Here is a 27,898-nt window from a genome sequence, read left to right on the forward strand (position 1 = left end):
ATCAGGGGCCTCAGGCAGGACTTGCTTCTCAGATCATCAGCATCTGGAGCTTGCTCAAATTTGAATTCCGCTGGGTGCGGTGGTTACGCCTGTAACCCCAGCACTTTAGGAGGCTGAGGCAGAGAGATCACTTAAGCTCAGGAGTTTGAGACCAGCCTGGCTAACATGGGGAAAACCCTGTCTCTACTAAAAATACAAAAATTTGCCAGGCATGGTGGCGCACTTCTGTAATCCCAACTACTTGGGAAGCTGAGGCATGAGAATCGCTTGAACCCGGAAGGTGGAGGTTGCAGTGAGCCGAGATCATACCACTGCACTCCAGCCTGGGCGACAGAGCAAAAAAAAAAGGCCTGGCACGGTGGCTCACGCCTGTAGTCCCAGCACTATGGGAGGCTGAAGGATCACTTGAGGTCAGGAGCTCAAATAAAATAAAATAAATTTGAATTCCATCAAATACCCACAGGTTACTGGTTCCAAGTCCATAGCTACCAAAAATATGGCCCTCTCTGACATCGCTATTCCACAGTATCATTCCCAAAGGGAAAAACAGACTAAACCTGCCAAGCCACAGAAAGAAGAAATGATGATAAACCTGAAATTGTCACTTACTATGGCACAAGTCCAAGTAGATCAGGACAATCACCCAAACCTACCCTCCCTCCCCCTCTCTCTTTCTGCACACAATTCCCATCTCAGAAGGTAGCCAGGGGTGTACAACATTTTTCACTCCTAAAAAGCCTGGTTCAAATGTCAACAGTCACGGATGAACTGGGTTTTATAGCTTGAGCTATTCCACAAACACCCTGCAGGCTGGAAGGAGGAGTCTCCCAGGTGACAAATTCCACTGCCCAAAAAAGGGAGAAAGAAGCACCAGGACACAGAAGATGACACTCAAGCGTTCTTCCATTTGTGAACTTTGGGAAAGATGTTCATTGTGCCATCCCCCAACCGCCAGGAACCGCAGGCTCACTGATACTTGCAAATTGGTCCAGAACTTTAGGAGCCCCATTCTTCCTAAAATGGGTTAAAAAAAAAATTGGGATTCCTCCCAATGTTGGTACAAGAGTTAAATGTTTAAAAAAAAAAAAAAATTCTGGGAAGCACTCTGGCCATAGTTACCATGAGCCTTATGCTCATTTAAAGCCGGGCATGGTGGCACACGCCTGTAGTCCTGACTACTCAGGAGGCTGAGGTGGGAGGATGGCTCATACCCACGAGTTCAGGGCTGCAGTGAGCCATGATTGCACCTATCAAGAGCCGCTGCACTACTCCAGCCTGGGCAACATAGCAAGACCCCATCTCTAAAAATAAAATACTCATTCAATTTGACCCACAAGATATACTGACTGCCTACTTGGGGCTTCACAACAGCCCCACTGTGGGGGTTCCATGGCACAGATCTGGAGGCACAGCAAGCATAAGTAACTGCCCAAGTGTGGAGCTGGATCCCGGGAGTAAGTCACACACTATACTGTGTCACACAAGCCTCCTCCCTAGGGGCCTGGGGCTGTCTTGTTAGCACTAATATCACAGTGTTAGTCTACTCAAAAGTATCTCTTGAATTCATAAACCCAATCACGCCACTTCTAGAATTATAAGGTGTAAGGATGTTCATTGCAAAATACTTATAAATATCATTGCTAAAAATTAGGAATAACCTAAGTTCCTACAGTATGAGAAGTTCCAATTATGAGAATAGTTAGGATATTAGGGTATATGCATAGGTAGCAATTCTTAAAGAATGCTTTCAATAATATTCAAGATGATTAGAAAACAGAAATGATAAAATAGTAAGTGAAAAAAGGAGGATACAAACTATATCAATAGGAAAATTCACGTTTTAAAAAGTAAATTAAAAGATATTGAAAGGTGGCCGGGCGCTGTGGCTCACACCTAAAATCCCAGCACTCTGGGAGATGGAGCCGGGAAGATCGTGCCACTGCACTCCAACCTGAGTGACAGAGCAAAACAAAAACAAACAAACAACACCTCAACAACAAAAAGAAAAACAGACAAAGTGAAAATGGATAAAGGATATGGATAGACATTTTTCCAAAGAAGATAAACAAATGGCCAATAAGCATACGAAAAGACGCTCAACATCAGGGGCCATCCGGAAAATACAAATCAAAACCACAATGAGATACCGCTCCACACTGACTAGAACGTCCAGAATCCAAACAACTGACAGTAACAAGGATTGACCGAGATGTGGAGAAACGGAAACTGTCATACGTTGCTGGTAGATACGTAAAATAGCGCAGCCACTTTTGGAAAACAGACAGACAGCTCCTCAAAAGGTTAACTATAGAGTCACCATATGACATTGCCAACCCACTCCTAGGTATATACCCAAGAGAAACAGAAATCTACACCCACTCAAATACTTGTACACAATTGTCCATAGCAGCATTATCTATATAGACAAAAAAAAAAATCCAAATGTGCATTAATTGATGAATGGATAAATAAAATGTAATATATCCATAAACAGATTATTATTCAGTGATAAAAAGGAATGAAGCATTGATGAGTGAATATGCATGGATGAATCTTGAAAACATCACACTAAGTAAAACAGGCCAATCACAAAAGGCCACCTATTGTATGGTTCCAGATGTTTGGAGTGTCTGTCATAGGCAAATCTATAGAGGTAGAAAGTAGATTAGTGGGTGCTTTAGGGCTGGAGGAATGAGGAAGACAAGGGAGTACAGCAGGAAAGTGGGTATAGAATTTCCTTTGGGGTGATAAAAATATCCTAATTTGATTGTGATGATGGTTGCAAAAAAAAAAAAAAATCCCAAAATATACTAACTATATTAAGAAGCCATACTCACCAACGCAGTGACTCACGCCTGTAATCCCAACACTGTGGGAGGCCAAGGCCAGTGGATCACCTGAGGTCAGGAGTTCAAGACCAGCTTGGCCAACATGGTGAAACCCCATCTCTACTAAAAATACAAAAAATTAGCCGGGCATGGTGGTGGGTGCCTGTAATCCCAGCTATTCAGGAGGCTGAGGCAGGAGAATCGCTCGAACCCCAGAGTGGGTGGTTGTAGTGAGCCGAGATCACGCCACTGCACTCCAGCCTGGGCAAAAGAGTGAGACTGTATCTCGGGGAAAAAAATAAAATAAAAAAGTCATACTTTAAATAGGTAGACTGTATGGAATGTGGAGTTTATCTTAATTAAGATCTTAATTATTTACATCTTTTTTAAAGTATGTGGTTTAAATGGGACCTTGTGCCCTGTTATGCTGGCCTTTTGAGTTACAAAACAAAATCTCTAACTTTCCTAATTCAGACTATACCTCAAGTCCAAGGCTATTCTTTTTAGAGGAAAGGCGTTTCTTTCTTGTATTTGAAAATGTGTTTCCCAGCAGCCCTGCATCATCCTGGCTCCTGTCTGCCCTGACACATTGCTTCCTTAGAAAACGCCTAATTCCAGCACAGAGAAAACAAGCAGGGCCTCCCCATGCCTTGCTGCACCTGCCCAGGTTTACCTCATCGGGGCTGGATGCCTGGTATACGCGGCAGGAGTCTTCGTACTGCTTCTCGGCCTCAGCCTGATCAGTCACACCGTTGGACTCATACACGGGAGTCACGTTGTGGCAGAGCGCGATGGCCTTCACGGCTTCGTGCACGCGGCTGCTCATGGTCCGCCGGACCTTAGTGGTGAGCGTTGGGCCCTTCTGAGCCGGTGGGTCCTGGGATTGCTACAGGAAGGAGAAATGAACAAGGAAGATGACCAGAGGCAGGAATGATTTGGAGAGTGGAAGAACAGCCGTGCAGCTATTGTTTCTTTTTTCTACTGTTCCAACACACAGAACCCTTAGATATATCTACAATGATGCTGCAAATAAATGACATGCAATTTTCAGGGTTTGTCATTTATGCTCGGCAAAAAAAAAAGAAAAAGAGACAGAGGAAAAAAAATACAATTTAATGAACGAGAACGATTCTACCTGCAGATTGAGTGAATCTATCCTCCCTGGGGTGGTGTCGGGGGCTTTTGACAGAATGAGGACCCCACTGCACTGAAAGGGATCCCGGTAGTTCAGAGCAGGGCTTCCCCACTTGGGTACTCCTATGTTGGGGGACATTATATAGGGTGTTCAGCAGCATCCCTGTCCTCCAGCCACCAGATGCGCTGGACGCCAGCAGCACTCCCCTAGTTGTGACAAGATATGTCACCAAATGTCCAATAGAGGCCAAAATCACCCTCGGCTTAGAACCACTGTTTAAGCTCACAATCTTCTTGGTTTACAACAGAAGGCAACAACCTCATCTGGTACCGTATGCAAGTAACAACCATCAGCAACAAGCAATCCAGGGCAGTCCAGCAAGGCGTCAGGAACAGCCAGAGGAAACCTTGGCCGGATGGGACTCACTGCAAAACGGCACCTGGCTCCCCACTGAAGCTAGACTTTCGGGTGTAATGGTAACTGTGCTCAAGTTTTGCCTTGCAGGCTGACTTTAGACCCCAGCTCTTGCCTGAGAGGCAGCTCCATGGCATACAACTGGCCTTCTCCATCCCTTCCTTTCCAACTGGCAACACAGCTCAGCCCCTGAAAGGCCAGGAATGGGTTAAGTCTTGGAAAAATGGTTTTGAGCAACATGGTAAAAAGAGCACTGAAGGGTAACCAAAGCTAAGCCTTATTCTTGGATGGGTGGCAAGCAGCTAGGACACCTGCAGCAAGTGGTGTCTGTCCTCTGAGGCTGTTTCCTGTCAACGAGAGGAGTGGCCGGGCACGGTGGCTCACGCCTGTAATACCAGCACTTTGGGAGGCCAAGGCGGGTGGATCACTTGAGGTCAGGAGTTCAAGACCAGCCTGCCGAACATGGTAAAACCCTGTCTCTACAAAAATACAAAAATTAGCTGGGTGTGGTGGCACTGTAATCCCAGCTACTCGGGAGGCTGAGGCAGGAGAGGAGTGAACTAGAGGTGGTTTTCAATCCATGCTCCACACTGAGCCCCAGGAATCCTGAGAAACCCGCTCAGCACCACCAACTGCAGCAGGATGGGAGATGCAGCCTGCAGCTCCGTTCCTCTGTCACACATCGGGTGCCACCTATGCTTCCTTTTTTTTTTTTTTTTTTTTGAGACATGAGTCTCACTCTGTCACCCAGGCTGGAGTGCAGTGGCATGATCTCAGCTCACTGCAATCTCCGCCTCCTGGGTTCAAGTGATTCTCCTGCCTCAGCCTCCCGAGTAGCTGGCATTACAGGCGCCCGCCACCAAGCCCTGCTAATTCTTGTATTTTTAGTAGAGATGGGGTTTCACCATGTTGGCCAGGCTGGTCTCGAACTCCTGACCTCAAGCGATCCGCCTGCCTCGGCCTCCCAAAGTGCCGGGATTACAGGTGTGAGCCACCGTGCCCGACCCCCACCTAGGCTTCCTTTGAAGAAAGGGTTCTACTGCTTTAGAATATAATGAAAATTAAGACCACTGGCGGGGGGGGGGGGGGGAAGGCTCATTGTTGAACACAAGCCAAATGCCCTCGCATCTGATCAACACCTGCCTGCATCTCCAGCTGTCCCTCATGCCATCTTCCTCCCGTTCCCTCTGCTCCAGCCATGCTGGCCTTTCTGTTCTTTGGGCACTGCCAAGCTTCTTCCTGCCTGAGGGCCTCTGCACTTGCTGTGCCCTCTGCCTGGAACCCCATCCCCCAGCTCACTGCAGGGCTGGCTTGCTCAGTCTCATCATTCAGGCCTCAATTCAACTTTACCTCCTCAAAGAGGCTCTTCCTGGGCCCCCCAGTTCATGGCACTCCACTTGCCTTCCCGTTGCAAGTCACATTTTGGCAACACCCTGTGTGTTACTCTCTTCATTGTCTAAATTGGCCTATTTACCTGACGGTTCCCTCTCATTAGACCATAGAAACAGAAGGCTCACCTGAGTGAGTTACTCATCACTGTATTCCTAGTATCCAGGGCAGTGTCTGGTATGTAACAGATATTTGCTGAACAATTAAATTAATAACTTAATAGTCCCAAGGTGGTGGTAGGGAGTCCTCAATTGACATGCATTTTTTTTCATTTTCAAGAAGTAACAACTATGAAATCGACATCAGTTTCAGATTTTAAATCACAGATTTAGACAAGGGGTCACCTACAACAGTCTTACTGAATCCACAGCCAACTGAATTGTGGAGGCTAGAAATGTGTATGGAGTTACCAGATTCTACATTCTATTAAAAACATATTTATCCAACAGGAGAGAAGTGATCTGATCCTTTAAAATGAGTCGCACTTTACACCCATGACACCCGATTGCCCAAAATAGAGAACAGATGGGTTACAAGAAACAAGAAAATGACTTTCACTTAATTTTTTAATACTATTTTTAGTATTAGCATTAGACTCCTCAGGTAATTAGACAATTACTAAATTATTCTGGTCACTGCGGGGACACAGCGCTCTGCCTTCCTGCTCTGTTAACCTCTGGTGTCAGGAGCACACGAGTTTCACTTCCAGGCCAAAGGGCACTGCATGGTAACAATAATTAGAGTAATGAATCAGAACTCCGGTTTAAATGAATCATTATTTGCCGAGTGCTTTTAATTATAAAGAATTTAACTCTAAAATTATAAAGAAAAGATTTACAGAAAGGTTCTCTATTGGAGAGACTAAATCGAGAACCCTTTTTTTAAAAAATTCTATAATTTAGGTTCTAGCCACGAACACGTGTCTTCATTTCTGTCCGCATTCCTCAGCACCTGGACCAAATCGTTATTTAACATTAGGCGCAATAACAAGACCTTTGACAAAGTAATTACTGTGGTTGGCAAGTTTCAGTATCCACGGATTTAAATGAAAAGCTGTACTGAGGGCATCCTTCATGAACTTCTGGATTTTGTAAAGCAATCTGCTTTCATATCTACAAAAGTCAAATGCTTCCACTAATATTTCAAACATGGGATAACACAGAGCCATGGGATTTTGTATTCCAGGTGAAACAATTCCCAAGCAAGGCAAAAAGAGAACCACAGACGGTCAGATGTTGACAAAGGCCTCACTCAGGAGACCATCTGACAACGAATGAATTAGAAGACTACTATGATAGCCTGACCAACATCACAGGCCACAGGTTCAATGCCTCCACCCACATATCTTTCTCTCTTAAATTAATACTTTCCCACCTTTCCTACTAAAATGTTCCAGGAAGGAGAGGAAATACTCATTGGTGCTGAAACTGCTTCTTTTAATTGTTAAATAAAGTCTCATTTGCACACCAAATGGTCATGCGCATACATCCTTAAGGCACTGAAACTGACCAGGGGCTGTGTTTGGATGATGCCTGTCTTAGGCCTGGCCTTCAAACATCCTCACATTCCCCATATGGAAGAGTTTCACATTGTACAGTGTTTATCTCTAACCTCCTCCCCATAGGCCCTTTAACCTACACACATTTCTTCTTACTTAAAAAATACCAGGGGAAAACAAAAACAGATGTGGCATCCACAGAGGCAGGTTATGACTCTTTTTGCCCTGGGGAAAAACCACTGGTCCCCTTATGGAGGGAGGGAGGGCAGAACAGCTCCACACGAGGTCAGAAGTGACTTCAGAACCAAGCACAGGTCACTATTGGGAGAGGAATTAAGATCTCCAAATACAAAGGGCCCTGACTTGGGCCCCTGGGCGGGTGTCTCGAATCCTATAAAGCCCCTGAGTCATTTATAGCATCCCAGCCAATAAATGAGACACCAAGGCAGGGAAAATAGGCTTCCCTTTCCCATTAGTAATCCACAGCTAGGGCCATTTCCTGACAAGAACTCCAGCCTGTTATTACAGAAAAGATTAATACAAAAATTAAACGTTGAGTCACCAGGAATGCCAGTTTTCTTTCCAAATGCAGTTAAAACTTCACCACATATGGGCATTCATACTATTAATGGATATTAGGAATGGGTTGCAATTGACTGAAATACACTTTTTTTTTTTTTTGAGACAGGGTCTCACTCTGTTGCCCAGGCTGGAGTGAAGAGGCATGATCACAGCTCACTGCAGCCTCAACCTTCTGGGCTCAAGTAATCCTCCCACCTCAGCCTTCTGAATACCGGGACCACAGGCGTGCACCACCATGCCCAGCTTTTTTTTTTTTTTTTTTTTTTTGGTAGAGACAAGGTCTCCCTCTTATTGCCCAGGCTGTTTTCTAACTCCCAGGCTCAAGTCAACCTCCCGCCTCGGCCTCCCAAAGTGCTGGGATTATAGGTGTGAGCCACTGCACCCAGCCAGAAATACACTATTAAAGATAAAGAATTTCTGTTATGATAACCCTAACTAACCTGCCACATCAAAAAAGCTCAGAGCTGATGACTCACTCACCTCAAAGGGCCACCATCAAAGAGACAGGCTCAGAGCTACTACCTCCAAATGAATCAGCTGAGCCACAGGCTGATTAAGTGACTAAGTAAATCCAATGTTTACTGTTTTAGAGCAGACATCATCTGCAACACAAAGTCAATAAATTTAAATGTACCCATATATCATCATCATTCTCAACTTGGATGATTTTGACCCTCATTTGGTCATGTCTGGAGACATAATTGGTTGTCACAACTGTGAGGGGACAGGGGTACTATAGAAATCTGTAGCATGCTGCTTAACCTCCTACAAGGCACAGGACAGCCTCCCATGACAAAGAATAATCCAGCCCCAATAATGAGAAGCCTGACAGCCACTGAAACTATAAATCCAGGGCTTAGGACCAGGGTGAGTTAGCGCAACTGAACTGTGCTAGCACAAGGTTGGATCTTGCCTTCATTTAAAATTTCAATATACTGTTCTTCACGAATGTTTTGCGCTTGAGTTTTTAAAATATTGCACTGCGCCAGGTGTGGTGGCTCACGCCTGTAATCCCAGCACTTTGGGGGAAGACGAGTGGATCGCCTGAGGTCGGGAGCTCGAGACCAGCCTGGCCAACAGAGTGAAACCCAGTCTCTACTAAAGATACAAAAATTAGCTGGGCGTGGTGGCAGGTGCCTGTAATCCCAGCTACTCGGCAGGCTGAGGCAGGAGAATTGCTTGAACCTGGGAGGCAGAGGTTGCAGTGAGCTGAGATCACGCCACTGCACTCCAGCCTGGTTAACAGAGCAAGACTCTGTCTCAAAAAAAAAAAAAAAATTTTTTTTCACCAAAGTATGATTTGCTTTATTTATTTTTTTTTTGGCACCCGGTTAAATTTGCTATGTGAGTTCCTCACTTGTCTTACTCTAGTCTGGACTGTGTTATGAAACCATTAAAAACCTTGACATGAGTGAAAAGAAGGAAGTTAAATAGTGTTATTCTGGCAGTGGTTCTTAACCAGGAAGGCTTCTCAGAATAACCAATAAAGATTTTTTAAAATATACACGCCGGGCACAGTGGCTCACACCTGTAATCCCAGCACTTTGGGAGGCTGAGGCGGGCGGATCACCTGAGGTCAGGAGTTCGAGATCAGCCTGGCCAACATGGTGAAACCCCGTCTCTACTAAAAATACAAAAATTAGCTGGCATGGTGGCAGGCACCTGTAATCCCAGCTACTCAGGAAGCTGAGGCAGAAGAATCGCTTGAACCCACGAGGCAGAGGTTGCAGTGAGCCAAGATCACACCACTGCACTCCAGCCTGGGCAACAAGATCGAAAACTCCATCTCAAAAAAAAACATTTTTAAAATATACATACTTAAGATCCAGACCCAAAGAATGCCGTACAGCCCAGGCATATATTTATATTTATATTTTTAAAACTTTACAGGCAATTCTGGTGGTCAACTCTAGTTAAAAAAGAAAGGAATATGATGGGTTCTCATTGAAAAGAAAACAGAGACAGAGAGAAATAAAGAACGCATCTATCCAGACACACAAAGGCAGAGCATTTGGCGTTTTGTCCACCCAGGTGTTAATACTGGTTACTGCCGAATGATATGAATACAGGTGAATTCAATGTTTTGTCTTTGTGCTTGGCCGTATGATTTATTTTTTCTGCAAAAAAAACTTTCATAAATACCAGAAAGTTTTTTCAATGAGTAAAAAATGAAGTAGGCTCCATGTCCCAGAGAAAACCACACTGACAAAAAAAATTCTTCCTCAAGAGAATGTAAACTCGGTGGCTCACACCTGTAATCCCAGCACTTTGGGAGGCTGAGGCGGGCGGATCACGAGGTCAGGAGATCAAGACCATCCTGGCTAACATGGTGAAACCCCATCTCTACCAAAAATACAAAAAATTAGCTGGGCATGGTGGTAGGCGCCTGTAATCCCAGCTACTTGGGAGGCTGAGGCAAGAGAATGGCGTGAACCCGGGAGGTGGAGCTTGCAGTGAGCGGAGATCGCGCCACTGCACTCCAGCCTGGGAAACAGAGCGAGACTCCGTCTCAGAAAAAAAAAAAAAAAAACAAGAGAACATAAACTGAACTTTGTATCTGTTTTCTGTGGATGCAGAAAGTAAGAAGAACGCTCTCTGGCAGTCAGTACTGATGAACTGAGTGCATCCTGTGTATATATGTTGTGTGTAGAAAAATAAATCACAAACTCACACGCTCATAAAAAAAACAACTCAGTAAATGAAAAATGACAGTTCACAGACCAAAGTATGTGGAATAATCCCAATTATGGTTTGAGACTGTCTTGCTCTGTCATCCAGGCTGGGTGCAGTGGCATGATCTCAGCTCACTGCAACCTCTACCTCCTGGGTTCAAGCAAGTCTCCTGCCTCAGCCTCCAGAGTAGCTGGGATTACAGGCATGAGCTACCACGCCCAGCAGGAAAAGTTTTCCAAGTACCTTCCATCTATATATATTGATCTTTGTATAAATATTGTATTGTACTACTGAACATTACAAAACAAGAAAAAAAATTCTAAAATCCTATGATAAAAATGAAAAACAGGGCTGGCTGCAGTGGCTCATGCCTGTAATCCCAGCACTTTGAGAGGCTGAGGTGGGCTAATTGCTGGAGCCCAGGAGTTCGAGACCAGCCTGGGCAAATGGTAACACCCCCTCTCTCTACAAAAAATACAAAAATTAGCCAGGTATGGTGACGCATGCCTGTGGTCCCAGCTACTTGGGAGGCTGGGGTGGGAAGATCACCTGAGCCTGAGGGGTCAAGGCTACAGTGAGCTGTGATGGCACCACTGCACCGTAGTCTGGGTAAGAGAGTATAAGACTCTGTCTCAAAAAAATAAAAATAAAAATAAATAAGAAAACAAAATGAAAAATAGCATTTCTCACACAATTAGCTAATATCTCAAAATAACATATACTTGGGGTAAGGAACACTGAGAATTATAGATTTAAACTTAAATTTCTTTTTTTTTTCCTTTTGAGAGGAGTCTCCCTCTGTCACCCAGGTTGGAGTGCAGTGACGCGATCTCAGCTCACTTCAACCTCCACCTGCCGGGTTCAAGCTATTCTTCTGCCTCAGCCTCCTGAGTAGCTGGGATTACAGGTGCCCGCCACCACCCCCGGCTAATTTTTTTTTTTTTTTTTGTATTTTTAGTAGAGACGGGGTTTCACCATGTTGGTCAGGCTGGTCTCAAACTCCTGATCTCGTGATCTGCCCGCCTCGGCCTCCCAAAGTGCTGGGATTACAGGCGTGAGCCACCACACCCAGCCTAAACTTAAATTTTAAATCATCATACCTGTTATTCAGCTACAAAGAGGAATAAAGTACATACACCTGCTACAACCGGAAGAACCTTGCAAATACTCTGCTAAACGGAAGACCGGCCAGACACAAAAGGTCACATATTGTTTGATTCTATTTATAGGCAATGTTCAGAATAGGCAAATCCAGAGACAGAAAGTAGACTGACAGCTGGGGGGATAGAGCAGGGGGGTTTGGGAACTCAAGGGATGTGGGCTTTCTTTTTAGGGTTGATAAAAATGTTCTAAAATTAGACAGTACCAATGTTTGCACAGTATTGTGAACATATTAAAAACTACAGAATCATATGCTTAAAAGAGCAAATTTTATGGTTTTTAAATTGTATCCCCTTTTTCCATTAAAAGTACTAGTAAATTGCCAGGCGTGGTGGTTCAAGCCTGTAATCCCAGCACTTTGGGAGGCCGAGGCAGGCAGATCATCTGAAATCAGGAGTTCGAGGCCAGCCTGGCCAACATGGTGAAACCCCGTCTCTACCAAAAATACAAAAAAAAAATTAGCCAGGTGTGTTGGCACATGCCTGTGATCCCAGCTACTCGGGAGGCTGAGGCAGGAGAATCTCTTGAACCCGGGAGGCAGAGTTTGTGGTAAGCCAAGATAGCACCACTACACTCCAGGATGGGGCGACAGAGTGAGACTTCGTCTCAAAAAAAAAAAAAAAAAGTACCAGTAAATGAATAACCCAGGGGAAAAACCATCACAAGTCCTTAGCTGGTTATAGTTTTCTCTCCTAATGTGTTGGCCATTTTCTTACTGTTTACTTGGCCTTGTATTAATAATCTGAAGCTTTCCTGCAGGAATCTTTTAAAACCACCTGCTCTCTTTATGAGTCCAGTTTAGTTCAACCACATCCTTAGAACAAGTCACCTGGACACTCATAAACTGCGGCCTACATTTCAACACTGGGAAAATAAACAACTGTGGAATTCCAGCCCCTTCCGCAGGACACCTCAAGGACCGGACCTGACAAGTACCTGTCTGATACATGGAGTGAGGGCCCCTGGGTCAACCTCAATAGTATTAGTAAGATTTTAATTTTGCATTAATTTTGGAGATGGAACTGAAATGTAAAGAGTCGCTTCCTGTACCCCAGTGGGTCATCTTGCAAACTCTTCCTTGGAGTCCACAGGTTTAGATACCCATGCTCTGAACAGGGATGAACCTCAGTTTCACAGCAGCTGTTCTCCAATGCTACTGTACTCTGGAAACACCTGGTTCACCTGTTAAAACTGCAGGTCTGGGCACCACTCCTTGTGCTCCTGACTCTGGCCCAAGTGATCTAGCCCAGGGGTTCCAAAGGCTGTACTTTACGAAACACTGGGCCAGGCATGGTGACTCACGTCTGTAATCCCAGCACTTTGGGAAGCCAAGGCGGACAGATCACCTGAGGTCAGGAGTTTGAGACCAGCCAGGCCAACATGGTGAAACCCCGTCTCTACTAAAAATATAAAAATTAGCCGGGCGTGGTGGCAGGTGCCTGTAATCCCAGCTACTAGGAAGGCTGAGGCAGAGAATTGCTTGAACCCGGGAGGTGGAGGTTGCAGTGAGCCGAGATCGCACCCCTGTACCTCAGCCTGGGCAACAGAGTGAGACTGTGTCTTAAAAAAAAAAAAAAAAGAAAGAAAGAAAAAGAAGAAAGAACCACTGGTATAAGAACCCCTTACGAAGCTCTAAGGTGGGAGGCGTGACTGCAGTGGGAGCAGGGGTGATGTGCATATTTGGGATGGTTCCACAGCTGCAAATTTACTAAAGTCACCACACTGTGTATTCAACATGGCTGAACTTTCAGGTATGTAAATCATCCCTCGATAAAACTGGTTTTAAAAAAGCATGCAAAAGCTTCCATATGTCCCATCACACACGTGGTCCTGTGCTTATGCCAGGATGTTTAGACATCACGAGAGAAAGATGCACACACTCTCACTTGGGTAGATCTGTACTGGAATTGTGAGTTCACCCCAGCCTCGCACAGCTAACCCTAACCCCACAACACACAGCTGTGTCAGACTCAAGGCCGGGATGGGCAAACTGATTTATGAGCTTCCCCTAAGGAAGGAGTATGAGGTGAGGTTCACGGTAAGAAGTGTGGTTTTCTGAATTTCAACACTTTACAAAGAGTGTTATCTGTGCTAAGCCAAAAATGAACCATAAAAGCTAAAATACACAAATATCCTGAGAGGGGACGGCTTCCGTAAACACCAGGAGCTCTTAAAAATACCAGCAACATGGCATGGGTGTAACTCCCACCGGATGTACACACCACCACCTGTGAAGCTGTCTAATATAACCATCAAGAGTCAACACGACTGAGAAGGGGCTGCGAGTGATACAGACATGTAGCTGGGTGCTGATATGCATGACAATCCAATCAATGAGCCCCCCAAGAAGGAGCCTGGTGGGCATTTGGGGTTGGTGGCTCCGAGGGAAGGGTCTAATTTGAGACACAGAAATAAGGCAGCTCACCCTGCCTGGAAGGCTGAAACATGGGAAAGGGGAGGGGATGAAGACCAAGGCTAGATCCCACTGCAAGTCTCAGACTCCACCACAGAGCTGATGGTACCGAGAGGCTCCTGAGAGGACAGCAAGAAGGAAAGCCGGGCAGCTACTGTGCAGGGGGTCACGGCAGACAGGCGAGGAAGGGGGTCACCTTGCTGAGTGAGTGAGAAGGGATGAAGACAAAAGGCCAAAGGTGGCTGGGCGCAGTGCATCATGCCTGTAATCCCAACACTTTGGGAAGCCTTTGGGAGGTGAGGCGATCACTTGAGCCCAGGAGTTCAAGTCCAGCCTGGGCAACACAGTGAGACCTCGTCTCTATAAAAAATAAACCAAATTAGCCAGGTGTGGTGGTGCATACCCAGTGCACACTTGTAGTCCGAGCTACTTGGGAGGCTGAGATGGGAGGATTGCTTGAGCCCAGAAGTTTGAGGCTGCAGTGAGCTGTGATTGCACCACTGCACTCCAGCCTGGGTGACAGAGTGAGACCCTGTTACAAAAGAAGGAAGGGAGGTGGGGGGGGGGGGGGGCGGAAGGGCTGGGAGTGGGCGAGGGGCTGGGGGAGGGGAGGGAGGGTAAGGAAAGGAAGGGAAGAAAGGGAGAAGGAAAAAAAAAAAAAAGGCCGAAGGGGTGATCTAGTGATCGGGTGGGAGCAGGTACTGGAGAAGGGGCAGTGGCTGTCAGCTGGGGTGACGAGGGTACCAGGATGGAGGGCGTGGTGTGCACTAAGACAAGCAGCCCTGGGAGAGAATAGGTTTAGGAGATGAGGGAAGAAAGTCAGGAGGGGTCCCAGGTACAGCATCCTTATGAGCCACATGCAGCAATGCCAAACATTCGGCTACGTTATAATCCAAAGCTCCAGGTCAGGCCTAGAGATGGAGATGGAGACAGAGCCATCAGCATCCACAGAGCGATGGAAGCAGGGTGAGGGGCCATCCGGGGAACAACATAACAGAGTCCAGCACCGAGCCCCAGAGACACCAACCCCAAATCACCACACAGAGGAAGACGGTCAAAGAGACAGAAAGGAAACGGGGGCTGTGCGGCTCATCCTCCCTGTCCAGGGAAGTTCCTCGTGATTTCTTAATAGTGCTAAAGTACATCTTTGAAAAAGGTCCATGGATCCATTTGGAGACCAGCCATGACGCCTCCCCATGGAGCCTGGAACAGCAACAAGGGCTTTGTTGCTGGTTGTAGATGATGACAAGAACTGTGTCAAGTCAGCTGTTCTAACTTAACATCCACTCCCACTGTCACACTGTCCCCTGCTCTGCCATTTTCAGGAGACAGCCTGGAAATCCAGCCCACTGACAAATGTTCCAGAAAATTAAATGTCAGTTATGACCGTATCAAGAAGTATTCAGGGATTCTGCCTTTAACCTGTATACAGAGATAATTCATTCATATTTCTTACTGGTCTTCTGACTATGGGAATGTTCTCTATTTCGACGAATTTAAGCAAAATATGACCTCCTTATTCTCTTGTTATCTCCAAACAAGTGCTGCAACATGGAGCTGGTCTAACGCGGTCTGGCTCAGCCTTGGATGTGCCTCAGAATTAGCAAGGGGTGTGTTTGTCTTACTTTTAAAACCCAAAGCCACGCCCTGCCCTAAGTCTTAATGAGTAAGAATCTCCAGGGTATCAAGCCCAAATAAATGTCTCGTTTTTGTTCTGTGTTGTTTTGAAACTCCACCAGCAATTCTGACACACAGCCAAGATGGGGACCCACCGGTCTAACACTTTAGGAATATTAGGATATTTGCCAGTAATACTTTCTCTGAAAAGTGACTGGTTTTGGGAAACTTGGTAGGAAAAATAAAGGTAGGAACAGATAAACTGCAAGTTATCTCTGATGAACTAATTTCTTCCTCGTGATTGTTGAGTTGAATGTAGATGAGAAACTAAAGGTAATCAGTAACGTCATGATTATTTCACAAGCAGACCATTTGTTATTGGTGCTCCGGGTCATAGCCAGGGAAAGGGAAAACATCAACGTGGTCGTAAACTTGAAGTATAATCAACCAGCAGGTTCCTTCTGGTTCTATTTATTGGGCATATAATTTTCTCACAGGTTTTTCCTAATGTCCATCAGCACTTCAGCAGAGCAGATTAGCCCTGAAGATAGGGAAGATGGGGAAGGACCCCAAATGCAATTTTATTCAAAGTGTAAAGGAAGTGTGGGTGTCATGGGTATAGAAGGGAGGTATTGGGGAGTGACTGCTGATGGGTAGAGGGCTTCTTTTTGGGGTAAACATAAAATCGATTGCAGTGACAGTTGCTCAACTCTGAATATGCTTAAAAAAAAACAATGAATTGTACTCTTGAAATGGGTGAATTGTACGGTATTGTGAATTACATCTCAATATAGCTGTTAAAAAAAAAAAGTCAAAGAATTGTTTTGGGTGTTGAAATGGAAGGCTTTACCTGGGTGTAAATGCTGAAAATGTGGCTTTGTACTTCGTCCATTGAGTCGAGGCCGTAGGCTACTGTTCCGAGATGGAGCCGTTTGAAAATCATCTCGTTCTGGGTAAGAGTGCCTAAAACACAAGACAAATGAGTGGCCGGCCTGTCTCTCAGGATGTTTGTTATTATTAACAGTAATGACAGCTGCCATCTTTGGAGAGTTTGCCCTATGTCACACACTGCAGTCAGTACTGTCCCTGCTGGGGAAGACACCTGCAGCATTTTGCCTGCCTAGAATCCCATTCCCCTTTTGAAAATGGCTTCCTAGCTTTCCCAGGGGAAATTAACCACACCATGCCCATTACCTAAGGTGGCCCAAGAGGACTGTCAATCAGGGGCCTGGCCCATTCCGTTGGCCAAGAGGGTGACAAATGACATACACTAGAGCAATCAGATTCTATCTCGAAGGATTCTGACCCTTGAGTAGAAAGATACATCCCTAATGGCAGAGCCCTACAGAGACCACCTGGAGGGTCCTAATGCTGACTTAACCAGAACTTTCCTGGTGGCTCTCCTTCCAGAAACCTCATTTTTCTCTGATTTGGTGAGCCGCCCAGGATCTTTGCATTAGCTTCCCTTCTACCCCATGGACATTAAGCAGTAGAGATGAGGCTGAAACCAGATCTTCCCCCTCCCAATCCTTGCTCTTCACCACTCTGATAGCCTAATGCCTGGACAAGCATTAAGTTGTGTAGCAGTATCAGGGTGTGGTCAGAGATCAGGCCTGACTGCCTGAGTTAAAGCTTGCTTCGGCTACTATGCGCCCGTGACAAGTCACTTACCCTCTCTGGGCCACATTTCCTCATCTGTGGAAGCGGGACAGAAACACTACCTAACTCACAAGGTTCAGGTGAGGACTGAAGGAGTGACCGCACTGAAACTCCCCAGAATTGTATTCTGCACATAATTCTGTTATCATCATCTTCATCACCAAAGAATCTTCATCAAAAGATGAAGGGAATAAAATAGCAGCAACACGCATCTCTCATATGTCCAGAGAGAGCCCAAGAATTTCAGCCAAAGCCCTCAGGCATCTTCTCTCACCAGGAATCCTGCGCAGGTCCCAGAAAGCAGCTCACCTGTCTTGTCTGTGAGTAAGTACGAAATCCTGCCCAGCTGCTCAGGAATCGTGCTGGAGCGAACCACGGTCCCGGGGATTTTCGAGTCCCTTCGAATCACCCAGCTGTACACGATCTTGCCCATGTCCAGGTTCACACGCAAACTAGGCACAAAACCAGAGCAAACAGGCTAACAGGACAGATGTAAGGCTCCTTGTATCTTTATAAAAACATGGACTCTAAACACATGTGCCATCGCATCCGGACTCACTCCCTGCAGAAGCACACTGCCAGAGCTGAACGCACAGACTCAGCAAGAGCCAGCACCACCGTCAAGTCACACACGGAACAAATCCATTATTGTCACAAAGCTCATGTTATGGACTGAAGTCACTTAAAATACAGAAAGGGTAGTGGTTTCCATCTCACCTTTTAGAAAAATTACTGATCCCTTAAGCTAATATATTTTTGATGCTATATTCATTTTTTTAATTGTGGTAAAATATACATAACAGGAAATTGACCATTCTATAGTACTGAGCACATTTACAATGTTATCAGCCATCAGCATCATCCACCTCCGTAATTCTTTCATCTTCCCAAACTGAAATTCCACACCCATTCAACAATAACGCCCCATCCCCCACCAACCCTAGCCCTGGCAGCCCCTGGCAACCAGCACTCTACTTACATTTCTATGAATTTGACTACTTTTTTTTTTTTGAGACGAAGTCTCACTCTGTTGTTCAGGCTGGAGTGCAGTGGTGCTATTTCAGCTCACCACAACCTTTGCCTCCCGGGTTCAAACGATTCTCACACCTCAGCCTCCAGAGTAGATGGGATTACAGGTGTGTGCCACCACGCCGGGCTAATTTTTTGTATTTTTAGTAGAGATGGGGTTTCACCATGTTGCCCAGGCTGGTCTCAAACTCCTGGGCTCAAGTGATCCACCCGTCTTGGCCTCCCAAAGTGCTGGGACTACAGACGTGAGCCACCACGCCTGGCCGGAATTTAACTACCTTAGACACTGCATGTAAGTTGAATCATACACTTTTTCTGACTTTTGGGGGGGCTTATTTTTCTGGCTTATTTTGCTTAGCATAACGTTCTCAAGGTTCATCCACACTGTAAGGTGCATTAGAATTTCCTTCCTTTTGAAGGCTGAAGAGTATTCCATTGTATGTATTATACTCATTTTGAAATTTAATTTTACTGCACAAAGTAAATAGAAGTCTTCACATTAATTCATCATCCTATAAACTAATCAAACTGCTTGCCATTTTACTGGCTAGCCCTGGGACAAATGAAGAGTCGACTCACCAATTTTTAATCATGTTACATGTAGAACTTTGAAGGCTACCACGTCACTTAGATTGAATACTTGTTTTGCTAGCAGTCAAGTCACTAAAGTGGATGTATTTATCCTCTGAATCCACCATCCAGAGCATGCTGACTTGGGCACAGTCCCCCTGTCCCTGTCACACTGTTTTACACAAAACGACAATCTCTGTCCCCAGAAAAAGACAAATTCTCACCAAGATGATCTAAATATATAAAATAGCAAGACAAAATATAAGATAATATATCAAGTATAAGACAGAGTATAAGCACTAAAAGTTTCAGGGAAAAAATATGTAATTTAATATTTACTAATTATCATGGGGAAAAAGTAGAAGCAAACAGAACAATATGGGGGAAAGTAGACTGCTAACCCACATCACAGAGCAGCTCTAAAAAATGATGGGACACACATACAAGTGATGTGAAAAGTTATTCAAAACACTGCTCCAATTTTTTGTAAAGGCAGATTTTAGTAGACCAAACTCCCCTTTTTCTAAAATCAAAAGCACTCTAGAAAAAAGTATATCCCATACTATTAACAATGATTATCACTTGGTAGTGAGAGCAGAGGTGATTTATATTTTATTCTTTTGCTAATACAGGCCTTCACTTTTTTCTACTATGAAAATCTATTATTTATATCACTTTAAAAAACCAGGCCAGGTGCAGTAGCTCACGCCTGTAACCCCAGCACTTTGGGAAGCTGAGGCGGGTGGATCACTTGAGGTCAGGAGTTCCAGACCAGCCTGGCCAACATGGTGAAACCCCAACTCTACTAAAAATACAAAAATTAGCCAAGCGTGGTGGCAGGAGCCTATAATTCCAGCTACTCAGGAGGCTGAGGCAGGAGAATCACTTGAACCCAGGAGGTGGAGGCTGCAGTGAGCTGAGATCGCACCACTGCACTCCAGCCTGGGCGACAGAGCAAGACTCCATCTCAAAAATAAATAAATAAATAAATAACCATTTATTCAACCTCCAAATCAGGTAGGCAAAGGACTGGCATGTGCCACCAAGCTTTCATTGCACACCTACAGCAGACACTGCTGTCAATCACAACACCATTTCCCTTTGAGCCCAGATGCAGGCTCAAAATCCTTCTCAACACAGCAGTCCCAACAGCCACTATCAACCTTGCAGAGCTGGCTGATGACAGGAGCTCTAAATGGCATCCCTAGCATAGGGAGGCAAGGCAAGGAAAGATCTCTGATTCAAGAAAGGATGGCTTGTGGAGGAATGTGATCTTCTGGTGCTAGAGCCTCAGTGTGGTTCACACTCCTGACTGATTGCTCTTGGTCCTCACTCTACAAAGAGATCTGCTCCTTCTAAAAGCCGATGGGCGCGGTGGCTCACACCTACAATCCCAGTACCTTGGGAGGCTGAGTCAGGTAGATCACCTGAGGTCAGGAGTTCAAGACAAGCCTGGCAAACATGGTGAAACCCCATCTTTACTAAAAATACAAAAATTAGCCAGGCATGGTGGTGCATGCCTGTAATCCCAGCTACTTAGGAGGCTGAGACGGGAGAATCACTTGAACCTGGGAGGTGGAGGTTGCAGTGAGCCAAGATCGCGCCACTGCCCTCCAGCCTGGGCAACAAGAGCAAAACTCCATCTCAGAAAACAATAATAATAATAAAAGCCACAGAACCATCATCTTTGAATGAGTAAAGAGAAGAAGATGTCACGGCAGCCAAACTCAAGCTCGTCGCCTGCTTACCTAATGGGGATGATGTTGGAAAACAAGAGGAGGAAGCGGATGATCTGCAGGTACCAACGGCCTGCAAAGTGCTGAAGGGCAACCATGACCAGCGAGACCACCACCAGGGCACCAAAGAGGATCTTGGTGAGGCAGTTCACTTCCAAGTCGAACAGGCCGATCTGTGGGACGAAGCACAAACCAGGGCTTGAGATGAGCTGGTGTAACTAATCTCAAACCTAAACCAGGAGGTGGAGGCTGCAGTGAGCTGAGCCTCACTGCACTAACTCAGCCTGCCGGAGAGCTGGTCCTTCCCCTACAAACACCTCTACCCCAGGTAGGACAGTGGGATCCATCGATCCTCATATCTTTGGTCTAAGAACACTGCTTCCATGGGCTGGTGTTCATAACAGGCATCCAAGGGAACTCAAAGAATTCTGAAAACTCAAAAAAATGTTTACAACTAAAGAAGATTTACACTTGGAAATGTATCAGCGAGTTACTGCTGTGCTGGCTGGGTCGTGTGCTGAATAGCCTCCACCACCCTGCAGAGTGCCCTTGGCCTTGTAAAACAACTCAGATCCTAAACTCTCAGCACCCTACCCAACACCAACTCGGCAGTGCCTGAAAGTCTGGGGCGCACACCAGTGGTGGCACCCGATTTTTAGGTGGTGCATTAATGGACATTATTTTATTATTTATTTATTTAGAGATGGAGTCTCGCTTTGTCACCCAGGCTGGAATGCAAGGGCACAATCTTGGCTCACACCTCCTGGGTTCAAGCGATTCTCCTACCTCAGCCTCCCGATAAGCTGGGATTATGGCGCCCGCCACCACACCCAGCTAATTTTTGTATTTTTAGTAGAGACGGAGTTTCGCCATGTTGGCCAGGCTGGTCTCAATCTCCTGGCCTCAGGTGATCCACCTGCCTCGGCCTCCCAAAGTGCTGGGATTACAGGTGTGAGCCACCGTGCCCGGCCCTGGACATTATTATTTTAATAATAATACATTTATCTTCATGTCTAGTCTTTTAAAAAGTAACAAATCATATCCATAACTTCATAGAAACATGCCCCAGGATAAGGCTAAAACATTAAACAAACGATTTTATAGTTGTAATGATGGCTGTAACGTCTAATGGTGGAGCGACCATGACTGAAGTTTAGGAGACACAGCATTCCTTCCTGCTACTGACAAAAGACAATTATTCTGTAATGTTCTGACTCTTAAAAATTGGAGGAGGGGTAAGCTGTGATGGTGGGTCACGGTTTGAATCACATGGGCCTGCCCCGTCCTCACTGTGTAGCCTGGACAGGGCACGGTGCTTCCTGAAGCCGTTTCTCATGGATAAAGGAAGCATGCACTCACAGGGCTGTTATGAAGATGAAATGAGATGCACGTGAAGGGTGAAACACAAGGCGTGCAAACCGTACGTGCTCCACAGTTTAACCTAAAAGCACAAAAAATGCTGGGCGCCATGGCTCACGCCTGTAATCCCAGCACTTTGGGAGGCCGAGGAGGGAGGATCACTTGATGTCCGGAGCTTGAGACCAGCCTGGCCAACATGGTGAAACCCCATCTCTACTAAAAATACAAAAATTAGCCAGGCATGGTGGTACACGCCTATAGTCCCAGCTACTCAGGAGGTGGAGTTGGGAGGATTGCTTGAGCCCGGGAGGCAGAGGTTACAGTGAGCCAAAATCAAGCCACTGTATTCCTGCCTGAGCAACAAAGTGAGACCCTGTCTCAAAAAAAGAAAAAAAAAAAAAAGGCACAAAAAAGTCATATATCCACAAACATGTAACTACATATTTACGTACTGTATTATATATGTGTATTGTATATGTATTTATTGCATACACACACACACATATGCATAAAAAGATAAAATGTCTGTATAAATATCACTCTTAGGTGTTCCTATTTTAATATCTCGTCACTCACCCACCAGAACCAACCAGCCCACAGCCGGTCAATGTACCCCATGACCTCGTACACACCTTACTTCGGGGATTTGAGGTATTCATGACACTCCGGAGTTCTCTGCCAGTGTAAAGAACAACACCCACAACAGTACCTAAAATGGAAAAAAGAAAAAAAAAAAAAGAAAAGAAATATTAATACAGACAGGCAGGCTTGCAAATAGAAGAGTCTGATCCTCTTGAGAGACTGGGTTCTTTTTTTTTTTTGAGACAGAGTCTTGCTCTGTTGCTCATGCTGGAGTCTGGAGTGCAGTGGCACAACATGGGCTAACTGAAAGCTTCCCACCATGTTCAAGCGATTCTCCTGCCTTAGCCTCCTCAATAACTGGGATTATAGGCGTGCACCACCATGCCTGGCTAACTTTTGGGTTTGTTTTGTTTTGAGGCGGAGTTTTACTCTTGTTCCCCAGGCTGGAATGCAATGGCGTGATCTCCGCTTACTGCAACCTCTACCTCCTGGGTTCAAGCAATTATCCTGCCTCAGCCTCCGGAGTAGCTTGGATTACAGGCACCTGCCACCACACCCGGCTAATTTTTGTATTTTTAGTAGATACGGGGTTTCACCATGTAGGCCAGGCTGGTCTTGAACTCCTGATTTCAACTGATCCATCTGCCTCAGCCTCCCAGAGTGCTGGGATTACAGGCATGAGCCACCACGCCCAACCTCAATTTTTGTATTTTTAGTTGAGATGGGGTTTCACCACGTTGGCCAGGCTGGTCTTGAACTCCTGACTTCAACTGATCCATCTGCCTCGGCCTCCCAAAGTTCTGGGATTACAGGCATGAGCCACCACGCCCAGTCTCTTTTTTTTTTTTTTTTTTTTTTTTTTTTGAGAGAGGGTCTTACTCTGTTGCCCAGGCTAGAGTGCAGTGGCACAATCATATTAATAGCTCACTGCAGCCTCAACATCCTGGGCTCAAGCGATCCTCCCACTTCAGCCTCCCGAGTAGCTGGGACCACAGGCACATGCCACCATGCTTGGCTAATTTTTGTTTTTTTTGTAGAAATGAGGTCTCACTATGTTGCCCAGGCTGGTCTTGAATTCCTGGATTCAAGTGATCCTCCCACCTTGGCCTCCCAAAGTGCTTGGATTACAGGCATGAGCCACCTCGCCCAACCCAACAGCCACACTATGAGAACATCAAAGGTTTTACATTAGGGCCAAACCAATGATCTGCGGCTACACTGACCAAAAGAACAGTCACTAACCACTGAAAACCCTTTGAGTTTAAATTCAGTTAAATTAAATACAGCGCCCACCCTCCCTAGCCCTGTTTCATGGCCATATAAGCTAGTAGCTACCTCATGGAACAGAGAAGACCCAGAGCCTTCTCCTTTTACCACAAAACTTGTACTGGTGAATGCTGGTCTACGGGGCCCAGCGGCTTCTAATGGAAGGTGACTGGGGAAAGGCGTGGCTTGCCGTTTGTGCCTCTGGTCATACAGGCTTCCAGAGGTGCCTAGAACATTCCTACCTTCATTAACTATTATGGAAACTTGGAAACAGATGCTTCTTTTTAGAGCACATTCTTCCTGCTAAACCTGATCCCTTTCAGTCTAACTTGCCCATTTGGGGATGTCTGTCCCAAGGACAACTCTTTCCTAAGAACTCCCCCACCCCTTCTATCCTCCAGACACAGTAAGAAAAGGCATGAATCCTTCGAAAGTCAACAATTTACTCAAGAAATCAACATGGCCAGTGAACAAGAGGAAAATGCTCAATCTAGTAAATAATCAAAAAATGCAAAATCATTTTTATCCCAATTAGATTGGCAAAAATCCTGTGGTACACACTGCTGGCTGACGTGCACACTGGTGTGATCTATTTTGGAGAGAAATTTGGCAGTATCTGTCAAAATTTTACTTCTCTCCCCTTCTCAGTGTGTGCCAAGAAAATCAACACAGCAGGAAAGATAGACAGTAAAGAAGGAAACCAAGAAACACGGCATCACAGGGAGTGAGTGGCGCTAGGCTGAAAGTCAAGTCAAGCGGAGAAACATACAGGACTGGGTGGCAGGGCGGGGGGAAGGGGGCAGTGGGGGGCAGGCAGTTTGTACTGTCTCCATTCACATCATCTGAGCCAAAACTTGGAACACGAAGGAGCCAGCCCTGCCAAGCTCTCAGGGAAGATCCCAGGAATACAAGCAATTTGGTCTCTGCCAGAAAGAGAAAACACCTCTTTCTCTGTGCTCTCTCCCCCTCACTCTCAGGAATGCCACTGTCAGGAGATACAAAAATCCGAAGAGGCTGAAGCACATCTGCAGTAAAGAGCCCGCCCCCAAATGCACTGAAGGGACCACGTCCTGGACAAAGAGCCCTAGGAGGAGGCGCTGAAGTCCTTCAAGGGTCTAACACACTCAGCCAGGCAAACAATGTTCTCCAGCACAATGCAGTTCCCTTCCAAGGAGGCTCCCGGCAGATGGCAGGCCAGGGAGAGCTTGCGGTGGCTTCTCGGCAGATGGCAGGCTCCTGTGAACACAGGCAGCCCTCCCTTCAGGCCCCTGTCACCACAGCAGATGGCTGGACAGTGGGAACCGAGCCCGGGCTGAGCTTGGAATGACCACACGACCGCTGCATCCACTCCTATGCAGATGCAGCTCAGCCTCAATCCCCAGAGCCCAGGGTCAGAGAGGGCCCCAGTAACAAGGGGGACCCCAAAGGGAGTGCCCTCTACGTCTGGCCTGGCTAACCTCGATGCCATCAAATGCTGCTGAAAATGGCCTTTCCCATCCCATGCCTTCTTGTGCTCAGGACACAGGCTCTGCCTCCACAAGATCCAAACCCCAGCCTCATCCTCAGTGAGACCACCAACCGGAGAGGACGCACACACCGGATGCGCCTTGGCTTGGTCTGCACGGTGCCTTCAAGGTTCTGAATAACTGGCCACTTTTAAATTCAGGAGCTTGCCTATCTAAAAAAAAAAATGAGGCCGGGCACGGTGGCTCATGCCTGTAATCCCATCACTTTGGGAGGCCGAGACAGGCAGATCACCTGAGGTCAGGAGTTTGAGACCAGCCTGGCCAACATGGCGAAACCCCATCTCTACTAAAAATATAAAAATCAGCCGGGCATGGTGGCTCATGCCTGTAATCCCAGCCACTTGGGAGACTGAGGCAGGAGAACTGCTTGAACCTGGGAGGCGGAGGTTGCAGTGAGCCGAGATCACGCCACTGTACTCCAGCCTGGGTGACGGAGTGACACTCTGTCAAGAAAAACAAAATTCTAAAAAAAGAGATCTCTGGCTTTTCCTGGAAGTGTGGAAGATCTGATGACACTGAGTCCACGTTCCTCATGCTACACCCAGGGAGTGCTGAGGAACAACCACCTCTTAGACAGGCACGTGCTCTGAGCTCACCATGGTCCCCATCCACCACTATCCACTCCTTTAAATCCTCTGCCCAATTTGTAACTGTTGACCCGAAAGTATCCACCCCCAGGCCTCTGATCCCCTCCTTCCCCTGCTGTCACCTCTGCAGCCCCTCCTTGCTCTCAAGGTTCTCTTCACTCCCACCCTCTGCAGCCTGCAGGCCACGCAGCCCTTTCCATTCTCCCAGCCAGTGTCCATCTGGTTTCTCCAAAAGGCCAAGAGGTCATGGTCAGGCATTTCACGGAGTTCTAACTGACTCTCTGGAACAGTGTGGTGCTGCCTGGGGTCAGGGCTATTCTGTGACCCCTTTGTTCCTCATCCACAACAAAATAAATGCTGAACCCGAGAATCAGCGTTTGGAAATTTTTATAGCAATTAAGTATTGCTGCAATATTCGAGCATGTGATCAGAGTAGTCGTCTCATCAAATGGGGTATAGACCATGGAGGCACTATCAAACTGTTGTGGGCTGAGCACGGTGGCTCACGCCTGTATTCCCAGCACTTTGGGAGGCTGAGGCGGGTGGATCACTTGAGGTCAGAAGTTCGAGACCAGCCTGGCCAACATGGTGAAATCCCGTCTCCACTAAAAATATAAAAATTATACAGGCGTGGTGATGGGCACCTGTAATCCCAGCTACTGGGGAGGCCGACGCAGAAGAATAGCTTGAACCCAGGAGGTGGAGGTTGCAGTGAGCCAAGATCGCACCACTGCACGCCAGCCTGAGCGACAGTGAGACTGTCTTAAAAAAAAAAAAAAAAAAAAACTTGTGGCAAGGTGCACATAGTGTGGCTGCATATTACTCATGCACAGAGGCAGGACCACAAATCGATCTTCTACACATTAGGGGAAAACCCAACAAACTGGTCCCTCTCCACTAAAAGTTTGAGAAGAACTGGGCTAGAGCACCAGTTCTTCTCACCTTCTAAGAGGTGGCTGTTCCTCAACCTGGGCTCTGTAACATCCAGGCCACCTTCTCTGCCAAGCTCCTGGTCCTCCTCCATCCCTCCCCTTATCCTTCACTCTTGTGCTGCCTCAGCCTTGCAGCCCTGCATTGGCTACCATGGCAACCACATCTTCTACAGATTAATGCCAGCTGATACAGACGGACCTCAGCACTGCCTGGCAAGCTTTTTTATTTTTTTTCAACTTCCAACAGATAATAGCAGACCTGTTAACCGAGAGGCAAGAGTTACAGCCTATAGGGAACACAGAAGTGAAATCTCACATAATTAAGATGACTCTTGCTGGCTGTTCCTGGCGTTGAGAACTAGAAGGAAATGGCTTGGGTTTACATTAGAATCAGAGGGCAATTAGATGTCTACTCAGTGAGATGCAGGGGAAACTGAGGCCAATTAAGGAAGCAGTCAATGCCCAGCTGCTCATACTGACTCCAAATCATACACCCACTAAGAGGCAGGGCAGGCAATGCCATCAGATCACTGCTGTGCTCTCCCTCCCCTACCGCACCCCTCCCCCCAAAATAACCGAGCACACAGAGAGGAATTCAGACAAGTGAAAATGTATCTTTAACTCCACAAGGCATCTCCCATGAACTGTCTGAAATATCTTTCTTCTTCAAGATGCCAATATGCCTTCCACTCTCCTCCTCCCAGGAGATGACCTCTCCAAGGCATGTAACCTTGAACAAGTTGCTTAACCTGAGACTCAGTGCCTCATCCCATTAAATGTCCTCATGTAATGTTATGAGACCAAGTTAAGAGAATGGCAGCAAAACACTTCATCAATTAAAAGTAAGTGATAAGTGAAGACTTAATTAGTATTGCTCATCTCTGAGACTAAGACTGACAAGCCCTTCCAACATTGCTCCTTCCACCTCAGATTTCTCTGCAT

General features: G+C 46.2%; 1 protein-coding gene across 1 annotated transcript in view; it reads right to left on the reverse strand.

Annotated features, from left to right (window-relative positions):
* Positions 1–27,898, reverse strand: part of ATP9A (ATPase phospholipid transporting 9A (putative)) — a 171,877-nt gene that overhangs the window by 56,923 nt on the left and 87,056 nt on the right. Inside the window, exons 10-14 of the mRNA NM_006045.3 lie at positions 22,696–22,772; positions 20,717–20,877; positions 17,679–17,821; positions 16,561–16,673; positions 3,502–3,714 (exon numbers count right to left, since the gene is read on the reverse strand). Of these exons, the coding sequence (NP_006036.1) occupies positions 3,502–3,714; positions 16,561–16,673; positions 17,679–17,821; positions 20,717–20,877; positions 22,696–22,772 (707 nt within the window). The remainder of the gene's footprint in view (positions 1–3,501; positions 3,715–16,560; positions 16,674–17,678; positions 17,822–20,716; positions 20,878–22,695; positions 22,773–27,898) is intronic.

Source organism: Homo sapiens, chromosome 20 (genome assembly GCF_000001405.40).
Source record: "Homo sapiens chromosome 20, GRCh38.p14 Primary Assembly".
NCBI lineage: Eukaryota > Metazoa > Chordata > Mammalia > Primates > Hominidae > Homo > Homo sapiens.